Raw genomic sequence first — 10,563 nt, 5'->3', positions numbered from 1 at the left:
TCCTGCGAGCTTCTCAGATATTCTCTCTGCCACACCTGTTCCCTCCGTTCCACCCTGCCAGATGTCTCCTCGGCCAAAACGTTCCGTCTTCTCGCATGTCTCCTCTGCCAAACCAGGGATCTGGTCACATGGCTCTTCTGCAAAACATTCGATCTCGTCAGATGTGTCTTCCGCCAACCACTCCATCCTGCCAGATGTTTCTGTGTTACCGTGGGCGGCTGGTCAGACAGGAGCAGCGCAGGAGAGGGCCACGCCCACACCCCACCTGACACCTCAGGTGACCAGGAGGTGATGGGTCAGGCCACCATTAAACTGCCTCTCTCAAATAACAGATGATTGCTGGGAGCCCCGCCGGGGACGGGCAGTCCCCCAGACAGACAGAAACCCTGGAAGGTGGCGATGAGCAGCTCCCCGAGATCTCAGGGGGTGGGCGAGGGGGTTCACGCTTGCGCATTCACAGGCAAACCGGCCGGGTTTCACTGTCCTATGACCCTCCCTGGGCAACATCCAACTGCCGAGGGAGGCACGCCTCAAGTGAGCACCCCTACGACTCCAGGAAACACGCTGCGCCTGCGGTCCCTCCCAAGTGCCGACAGGCCACTGCCCATGTGGATGGCCCGCCCTGTGAAAAGGCTCAGGGGAGGAAGCGACGCAACCCCTGGCTCCTGGAAGCCTGCCAATGTGTGAGACCTCTCCTCAAAGGTCGAACAATGCATGCCCCTGACCTCTCCAGTTGCACACATGGCATTCTTCTAAGTGTACCTTATTGCCTCGCCTCCCTGCTCCGGTACCATCTGGGAGACCCGCGCTTAAAGTGGCCTCGGTTTCTCTCCCTCCGCCTCATGCCCCTCAGTCAAACTCCCTCTGACGAGGCAAGAGCTCAGGTTGCTGCGTGCAGGCCTCTATGGATCCACCGCCGCGGACGTCCCTACCGCCAAACACCCCATCTTAGCGGATGTTTTCTCTCCCAAATGTTCCCTCTTTCCAGCTGTTTCCTTTGCACGGCATGCAATCTTCCTAGGTGTTCCGTCTACCCACCGTGGAATCTGCTCAGAGGTTCCTTCTGCCCACCATGAGACCTGCTTAAGGGTTTTCTGCTGTTGACCACGCCATCTTCGCACTTAGGCCTTCTGCTAAACGTGCAGTCTACCTGAGTGTTCCTTCTGCCAAACAGCTAGTTGTGTCCGCTCCCTCCCCTGACAAGCGCTCAGTCTTGTCCGGCGCACCATGGGCCCAATACTTCCTCCACCCAGATGTTTCTTGGGCAGGCCTTGCAATCTGCCTAGGGCGTCCAACTGCCCATCCTGCAGTCTTCTCACGGGTTCCCTCACCCTGCCAGCCCCCCCTGCAATCTCCCTACCCTAAGGTTTCCTCATGCTGATCACCAGATGTTCTTAGCAGTTCCTTCCGAAATCGCTGCAGTCTGCTTAGATGTTACCTCTGTCACACTCGGCTGTCAGATGTTCCTTCCGCCAGACACTCCATCTCGTCAGATGATCTTCTGGCACACGTTCAATCCTGTCAGGTGTCCCTCTCCGTCACACGTGCAGAGCGGGGCCCGAGAGGGTTCCCCACCACCAGTAAATGTTAGGCAGCCGCGAGGTGATGGTCGTGTGGTCTCAAAGCAGACTCTCTAGAGAAATCACTGGCGCAGGCAGTGCCAGGGAAAGGCAGTCCCCCTCCCCCACAGCAGTCAGGAACATCGGAAGCATCCCTGGCAGACCTTGTGAGTTGGGCAAGTGGGCTCACGCACGTGCCCTGAGAGGCAAACTGGTGGGAGGTTCACTGCTGTAGGACCTTTACCCCTGGACACATTCGTCTGCTTGCTGGAGAAATGCCTCAAGCAAGCACGCTAACAACTCCAGTAAGCACACAGCACCTGCGGCCCCCGCCCCTCCACCCCACAAGAAGATGCTAACAGGCCACTGCGCCAGTGGACTGCCCCCTCTTCCCCGACAAGAGAAGCATCAGGGGACCGGCAGCAATGCTGCCAATGGGGGAGACCCCGAGTCGAAGGTCCAGCCCTGCACTGCACCTCTCAGGCTGCTGCCTGCCTGGGCCTCTTCCAAGCCTCCTTGACTTCCTTTGGCTCCTGCCACAATACCGTTTCAGGAACTTTCGCCCCTGCTCCAACGTGTTCCTCAGTCTCTCCCTCTGCCTTGTGCCCCTCGGTCGATGTCCTTCTGCTCAGGAGGCAGGAACCGAGGTTGCCGCAGGCCTGCACGCATCTGCCGCCACTCACGGGCCCCACTGCCAAACGTGGAATCTTGCCCAATGTGCCTGTCCTCAGCCAGACATGCCATCCCTTCAGATGCTTCTTTCGCAGGCCACGCACTTGCATGCTTCCTACGTTTTCCTCCCTGCTGCTGTGCCATCAGCTGCAAGGTTTCTGCTGTCCACCATGCAACCTTCTCACATGTTCCTTCCACCACACGTGCAATCTCCCTAAGCATCCCTTCTCCCAAACGCTCCACTCTGTCCCTTGTTCCCCCTGGCAAGCATCCCATCTTCTCAGGTGTTTCTTCTGCCACATATTTAATCATCTTCACATGTTGCCTCCCAAGGCCTTGAATCCTTCCCAGCTCATCCTCCCGCACACCCCGCAATCCTCCCAGATGCTACCGCCGCCCACCGGGCAATCTCCAGAGGCACTCCTTCTGCTGTCCAGTGCTCTTAGGTCTTCCTACTACCCAATGTGCAATCTTCCCAGATGGGCCTTCTGCCACACATTCACATCTGATCTGGCAGGTGTTTCTTCTGCCAAAGCTTCAATCTTCTCGGATGCTCTTCTGCCACATGTGCAATCCTGTCAGACGTTCCTATCACTTGAGGTACTTGGTCTGACGTGAGCATAGTACCGGGGGTCCCCCCACCACCACCAGGAATGTCAGATGACCATGAGGTGACAGTTGGGCGGTACTTGAACCCTATCTATGGAGGAAAACTCCTCACGGCCGGCTGCAGCCAAGGAAGGGCAGGCACCTGATGGATGGAAGCGCAGGAAGGTGGACATCAGCAGCCTCCCTGTAAGATCCCAGGAGTTGGGCGTGTGGGATAATGCAGGACACCTTGACAGCCACAAGAGCAGGGTTGAGCAGCTCCGTCCCCTCCCTCTGAGAACACTCAACGAATAGGGGAAGAATGCCTCAAGTGAGCAGGCCTAAGACTCCAAGAACCCCACAGTGCCTGTGACTCACCTCGCCCATGGGCTGACAGGCAGCGGCACCGGTTGACAGCACCGCCCAAGGGAAGGATCAGTGGAGAGGCAATGACGCCACCCCAGAAGGCTGCCCAAGGAGGAGACCCCAAGTTGAAGGTCAAACCCTGCACTCCATCCCTCAGGTTGTCCACTTCACTATCTTCCAACTGTATCTCGCTTTCTTTCCTTCCTGCTCCAAAGTGCTGAAGCAGCTTTCACTCCGGCTCTTCACCGTGCCTACCTCTGAAGCCCTAGGGCCAACTGCTCAGGGGGGTTTTGGGACAGTCTGTACCGACACCTGCATAGGGCCTCGTTCTGTGGCCCTTTAGGGACCCCACCTTCATGCATATTTCCAGTCAGCACCCCTCTGGGAACAGGGAAGATTCTTCCTTCACCCCGGCTGAGTTTTTGCCCCAGGCCACAAGTGCTCCAGAGGTGACTACCTTATGTCAGGTTGGCATTGAACGTGGCCCTCTTGAGTCCGAGGGCAGTTCTTTTGGCAAGCGCAGCAAGGCTTTCCATGAGTCTTCCTCTCTCGCTTCTTCCCACTTCCGCCCATAGCCTCGATTTCTCTACTCATGGCGACACCCTTCCTCAGATGCTTCCGGGCCTTCCTGGTCCTGTCTGAAGGGAGAAATGTCCAGCCCCTCTGCGGCAGCTGGCTGAAAAACAGGATCCTCATCTATTGTGAGAACCTGGGAAGCGGGAATCAGACAGTGGAGATCATCATTGTCTTGCTGGAACGCTCTCAGGCACAGTCACTCTCATTTCACAGAGACAAGGACAGAGGCCGGACCAAGGCCACAGGCGCAACAGACCCATAGCACCCAGACCCAAACTGATCTCCGGCTAACACACGGCCATTAGAGCAGGGAGGAAGGCAAGGGCAGGGGTACATGGTAACACTGGTTCATTCTGGGACCCTGGGGATGAACGGGGCTCCCCTGACCCTGTTCACTCTAGCACCTCCTCTCTTCTGCAGTGGGTGATCATGACGAGATGGGACCAGGGTTGGCAGGGACACAGTAAGAACGAGACATCCCGGAGCCCTAAGGACGAATGGCGGATACCCTACTCAGGATCCTGGGAAAGTTCACAGAGCCTAAGCATGTTGGAGACGGTCCTTGTAGCCAACAGAAACGTTCCTGAAACGGGATCCGGGAAAGAAACGCCATGCGGTTTGAAAGGTTGTTAGGTCTGTTAAATGCTTCCGGAATCAATGCTTTACCGGAGGTCAGTCGGGACCATTTGCTTACACGTCATCTCTGACTGCTTCCATGCTACTACGGCAGGCTTCAGCAGACACGACAGAGACCACGGGGCCTACGAGTGCTTCCCACCTGGCCCTTTACAGGAAGAGCTGGCCAATCCCTGTGTCACACCGTGACCGGAAAGCCCTAATACTCACCGCTCATCTTCTGACTCCCCTGCTCAAAAGCTTCCCATGATTTTCTGCAGGAAACCTGGCTGGCTCCCTATCCACGGAATTTCTTTCTTCTTTCTCGCTGGAGAAATGCAAGGTTATCGGGATCTTTATCACTCCCTCAACCCACCCCAGCTCCCGAAGGAGGAATGATCATTCTAAGCTCATCACAGCAATCACATGGTTTTCCCCAGTGACCGGCTTAGCAGTCGGCATGTGCTGTAACCCAGCCCATACGATGTTACCAGAAGGTCACCGCGAGCTGCTGACTTGACTGCCTCTTCAAAAGACACCTGGGAAGAAAAGCAACCCCTCCAGCCTTCGGATACTGCCTTCAGAGAACACACCAACTGCAGCTGTTGCTACTCGGCCCGCCAGCAAAGCAGACATGAACTAAACACTGCCCACAGCACAGCTGGAAGGGAAAACATGAGCATGACACGACGATGCTGACACAATTCTGGTGCCTATGGCTTCAGCCGCTCTTACTTGGGTCATCTACTATTTACAGCCACGAGCATCCTGAGAATGTGGCCGTGGCCCACAGAATATATCCTCTACCCCTTCTGCTCTGGACCACTCAAAAATCTACCCTCAGCTCGCCTTTTCTAGACATTCAAACCACACCCAACCATTCCCGTACCACACTCTTGCCACCAGCAACACTGAGCTGCTCTCGAACCCGACAGAGTTCACGCGAGCCTCTGACCTTTGGAACTTGCCATTCCTTCGGGCAAGCAGGCAATCTTTTCCCGATGCTCCTGCGAATCCTGCGACCTTCTCAGACGTTCTCTCCACCATACCTGTTCTCTCCGTTCCACCCTGCCAGATGTCTATTCGGACAAAACGTTCCGTCTTCTCGCATGTCTCCTCTGCCAAACCACGGATCCCGTCACATGGCTCTTCTGCAAAACATTCGATCTCGTCAGATGTGTCTTCCGCCAACCACTCCATCCTGCCAGATGTTTCTGTGTTACCGTGGGCGGCTGGTCAGACAGGAGCAGCGCAGGAGAGGGCCACGCCCACACCCCACCAGACACATCAGGCGACCAGGAGGCGACGGGTCAGGCTGCCATTAAACTACCTGTCTCAAATAATAAATGATTGCCGGGAGCCGGTGCCAGGGACGGGCGGTCCCCCAGACAGACAGAAACCCCGGAAGGTGGCGATTAGCAGCTCCCTGAGAAGATCTCAGGGGGCGCGTGACGGGGCTCATGCTTGCACACTCACAGGCAAACCGGCCGGGTTTTACTGTCCTACGACCCTCCCCAGGCAACATCCGACTGCCAAGGGAGGCACGCCTCATGTGAGCGCCCCTATGACTCCAGGAAACACGCCACGCCTGCGGTCCCTCCCAGGTGATGACAGGCCACTGCCCATGTGGATGGCCCACCCTGAGAAAAGGCTCAGGGGAGGAAGCAATGCAACCCCTGGCTCTTGGAAGCCTGCCAATGTGTGAGACCTCGCCTCAAAGGTCGAACAAAGCGTGCCCCCGACCTCTCCAGTTGCCCACATGGCCCTCTTCCAAGTATACCTTACTGCCTCGTCTTTCTGCTCTGGTACCATCTGGGAGACCTGCACTCCTGCGCTCAAAGAGGCCTCGGTCTCTTTCACTCCGCCTCACGCCCCTCAGTTAAACTCCCTCTGATGAGGTGAGAGCTCGGGTTGCTGCCTGCAGGCCCCTATGGATCTGCCACCGCTGACATCCCTACCGCCAAACGCTCCATCTTGGTGGATGTTTTCTCTCCCAGATGTTCCCTCTTTCCAGATGCTTCCTTTGCAAGCCACGCACTCTTCCTAGGCATTCCGTCTGCCCACCATGGAATCTGCTCAGAGGTTCCTTCTGCCCACCGTGCGACCTGCTAAAGGGTTTCTGCTGTCTACCATGTCATCTTCACACTTGGGCCTTCTGCCAAACGTGCAATCTACCTGAGGGTTCCCTCTGCCAAACAGCCAGTTGCGTCCACTTCTTCCCCTGACAAGCATTCAGTTTTGTCTGGCGCACCATGGGCCCAATACTTCCTCTACCCAGATGTCTCTTGGGCAGGCCTTGCAATCTCCCTAGGGCATCCAACTGCTGATCCCGCAGTCTTCTCACGGGTTCCCTTGCCCCCCAGCACCCCTGCAATCACCCTACCCTAAGGTTTCCTCCTGCTGACCATGCGATGTTCTTAGCCGTTCCTTCTGAAATCGCTGCAGTCTGCTTAGATGTTCCCTCTGCCACACGCTCAGGGCTGTCAGATGTTCCTTCCACCAGACACTCCATCTCGTCGGATGATCTGCCACGCGTTCAATCCTGTCAGGTGTCCCTCTCAGTCACACGTGTGGAGCGGGGCCCGAGAGGGTTCCCCACCACCAGTAAACATCAGGCAGCCGCAAGGTGATGGCCCGGTGGTCACGAAGCAGACTCTCTAGAGAAATCACTGATCACAGGCAGCACCAGGGAAAGGCAGTCCCCCTCCCCCACAGCAGTCACGAACCTCAGAAGCCTCCCCAGCACACCTCGGGAGTTGGGTGAATGGGCTCACACGTGCACCCTGAGAGGCAAACTGGTGGAAGGTTCACTGATCTGGGATGTTTTCCCCTGGGCACATTCATCTGCTTGTGGGAGGAACGCCTCAAGAGAGCATGAGAACAACTCCAGTAAGCACACGGCGCCTCCGCACCCCCATGAGATGGTGACAGGCCACTGTGCTAGTGAACAGCCCCCTCTTCCCCGCCGAGGGAAGCATCAGAGGACAGGCAGCGATGCTGCCGACGCGGGAGACCCTGAGTCCAAGGTCCAGTCCTGTACTCCACCTCGGGCACATGGGCTAATGCGGGACACCCTGCCAGCCACACCGGCAGGGCTGAGCAGCTCAGTCTCCTTCCTCTGAGATCAGTCGACAGGTAGGGGAAGAACGCCTCAAGTGAGCATGCCTAAGACTAGGAACCGCACTGTGCCTGCAACGCCCCCCGCCCACGGTCTGACAGGCCGTGGTGCCAGTCGACAGCCCCACCCGAAGGAAGGATCGGCAGAGAGGCAACAACGCCACCCCGGAAGCCTGCTAATGGAGGAGATCCAGAATCGAAGGTCAAACCCTGCACTCCATCCCTCAGGTTGCCCGCTTCGCCCTCTTCCAACTGTATCTCACTTCCTTTCCTTCCTGCTCCAAAGTGCTGAAGCAGCTTTCACTCCTGCTCTTCACTGTGCCTTCCTCTTACACCCCAGGACCAACTTCTCAGGGGGCTTTTGGGGCAGTCTGTACCGACACCTGCATAGGGCCTCGTTCTGTGGCCCTTTAGGGACCCCACCTTCATGCTCATTTCCAGTCAGTGCCCCTCTGGGAACAGGGAAGACTCTTCCTTCAATCCAGCTGTGTTTTTGCCCCAGGCCACAAGTGCTCCAGAGGTGACTACCTTATGTCAGGTTGACATTGAACGTGGCCCTCTTGAGTCCGAGGGCAGCTCTTTTGGCGAGTGCAGCAAGGCTTTCCATGAGTCTTCCTCTCTCGCTTCCTCCCACTTCTGCCTGTAGCCTGGATTTCTCTACTCGTGGCCATGCCCTTCTCCAGATGCTTCCAAGCCTTCCAGGTCCACTCTGAAGGGAGAAATTTCCAGCCCCCTTGTGGCAGCTAGCTGAAAAACAGGCTCCTCGTCTACTGTGAGAACCTGGGAAGCGGGAATCAGACAGTGGAGATCATCATTGTCTTGCTGGAACGCTCTCAGGCACAGTCACTCTCATTTCACAGAGACAAGGACAGAGGCCGGACCAAGGCCACAGGCGCAACAGACCCATAGCACCCAGACCCAAACTGATCTCCGGCTAACACACGGCCATTAGAGCAGGGAGGAAGGCAAGGGCAGGGGTACATGGTAACACTGGTTCATTCTGGGACCCTGGGGATGAACGGGGCTCCCCTGACCCTGTTCACTCTAGCACCTCCTCTCTTCTGCAGTGGGTGATCATGACGAGATGGGACCAGGGTTGGCAGGGACACAGTAAGAACGAGACATCCCGGAGCCCTAAGGACGAATGGCGGATACCCTACTCAGGATCCTGGGAAAGTTCACAGAGCCTAAGCATGTTGGAGACGGTCCTTGTAGCCAACAGAAACGTTCCTGAAACGGGATCCGGGAAAGAAACGCCATGCGGTTTGAAAGGTTGTTAGGTCTGTTAAATGCTTCCGGAATCAATGCTTTACCGGAGGTCAGTCGGGACCATTTGCTTACACGTCATCTCTGACTGCTTCCACGCTACTACGGCAGGCTTCAGCAGACACGACAGAGACCACGGGGCCTACGAGTGCTTCCCACCTGGCCCTTTACAGGAAGAGCTGGCCAATCCCTGTGTCACACCGTGACCGGAAAGCCCTAATACTCACCGCTCATCTTCTGACTCCCCTGCTCAAAAGCTTCCCATGATTTTCTGCAGGAAACCTGGCTGGCTCCCTATCCACGGAATTTCTTTCTTCTTTCTCGCTGGAGAAATGCAAGGTTATCGTGATCTTTATCACTCCCTCAACCCACCCCAGCTCCCGAAGGAGGAATGATCATTCTAAGCTCATCACAGCAATCACATGGTTTTCCCCAGTGACCGGCTTAGCAGTCGGCATGTGCTGTAACCCAGCCCATACGATGTTACCAGAAGTTCACCGCGAGCTGCTGACTTGACTGCCTCTTCAAAAGACACCTGGGAAGAAAAGCAACCCCTCCAGCCTTCGGATACTGCCTTCAGAGAACACACCAACTGCAGCTGTTGCTACTCGGCCCGCCAGCAAAGCAGACATGAACTAAACACTGCCCACAGCACAGCTGGAAGGGAAAACATGAGCATGACACGACGATGCTGACACAATTCTGGTGCCTATGGCTTCAGCCGCTCTTACTTGGGTCATCTACTATTTACAGCCACGAGCATCCTGAGAATGTGGCCGTGGCCCACAGAATATATCCTCTACCCCTTCTGCTCTGGACCGCTCAAAAATCTACCCTCAGCTCGCCTTTTCTAGACATTCAAACCACACCCAACCATTCCCGTACCACACTCTTGCCACCAGCAACACTGAGCTGCTCTCGAACCCGACAGAGTTCACGCGAGCCTCTGACCTTTGGAACTTGCCATTCCTTCGGGCAAGCAGGCAATCTTTTCCCGATGCTCCTGCGAATCCTGCGACCTTCTCAGACGTTCTCTCCACCATACCTGTTCTCTCCGTTCCACCCTGCCAGATGTCTATTCGGACAAAACGTTCCGTCTTCTCGCATGTCTCCTCTGCCAAACCACGGATCCCGTCACATGGCTCTTCTGCAAAACATTCGATCTCGTCAGATGTGTCTTCCGCCAACCACTCCATCCTGCCAGATGTTTCTGTGTTACCGTGGGCGGCTGGTCAGACAGGAGCAGCGCGGGAGAGGGCCACGCCCACACCCCACCAGACACATCAGGCGACCAGGAGGCGACGGGTCAGGCTGCCATTAAACTACCTGTCTCAAATAATAAATGATTGCCGGGAGCCGGTGCCAGGGACGGGCGGTCCCCCAGACAGACAGAAACCCCGGAAGGTGGCGATTAGCAGCTCCCTGAGAAGATCTCAGGGGGCGCGTGACGGGGCTCATGCTTGCACACTCACAGGCAAACCGGCCGGGTTTTACTGTCCTACGACCCTCCCCAGGCAACATCCGACTGCCAAGGGAGGCACGCCTCATGTGAGCGCCCCTATGACTCCAGGAAACACGCCACGCCTGCGGTCCCTCCCAGGTGATGACAGGCCACTGCCCATGTGGATGGCCCACCCTGAGAAAAGGCTCAGGGGAGGAAGCAATGCAACCCCTGGCTCTTGGAAGCCTGCCAATGTGTGAGACCTCGCCTCAAAGGTCGAACAAAGCGTGCCCCCGACCTCTCCAGTTGCCCACATGGCCCTCTTCCAAGTATACCTTACTGCCTCGTCTTTCTGCTCTGGTA

General features: G+C 56.6%; 3 annotated features.

Annotated features, from left to right (window-relative positions):
• Window positions 2,359-2,559: a silencer, noted in NCBI's record as "peak7032 fragment used in MPRA reporter construct". NCBI's record gives its function as "represses an SCP1 promoter by STARR-seq MPRAs in K562 erythroleukemia cells {active_cell/tissue: K562}" and the evidence as "EXISTENCE:reporter gene assay evidence [ECO:0000049][PMID:32103011]".
• Window positions 7,002-7,502: an enhancer, noted in NCBI's record as "H3K4me1 hESC enhancer chr8:58122972-58123472 (GRCh37/hg19 assembly coordinates)". NCBI's record gives its function as "activates a minimal SCP1, AML or CMV promoter by ChIP-STARR-seq in primed H9 embryonic stem cells {active_cell/tissue: H9 hESC(primed)}" and the evidence as "EXISTENCE:reporter gene assay evidence [ECO:0000049][PMID:30033119]".
• Window positions 7,884-9,083: an enhancer, noted in NCBI's record as "BRD4-independent group 4 enhancer chr8:58121391-58122590 (GRCh37/hg19 assembly coordinates)". NCBI's record gives its function as "activates an origin of replication core promoter dependent on BRD2, P300/CBP, MED14 and CDK7 cofactors, and independent of BRD4, by STARR-seq in HCT116 cells {active_cell/tissue: HCT116}" and the evidence as "EXISTENCE:reporter gene assay evidence [ECO:0000049][PMID:35650434]".

The sequence above is a fragment of the Homo sapiens genome, chromosome 8 (assembly GCF_000001405.40).
Source record: "Homo sapiens chromosome 8, GRCh38.p14 Primary Assembly".
NCBI classification, from domain to species: Eukaryota; Metazoa; Chordata; class Mammalia; order Primates; family Hominidae; genus Homo; species Homo sapiens.
This window is presented reverse-complemented; position numbering and strand designations above follow the sequence as displayed.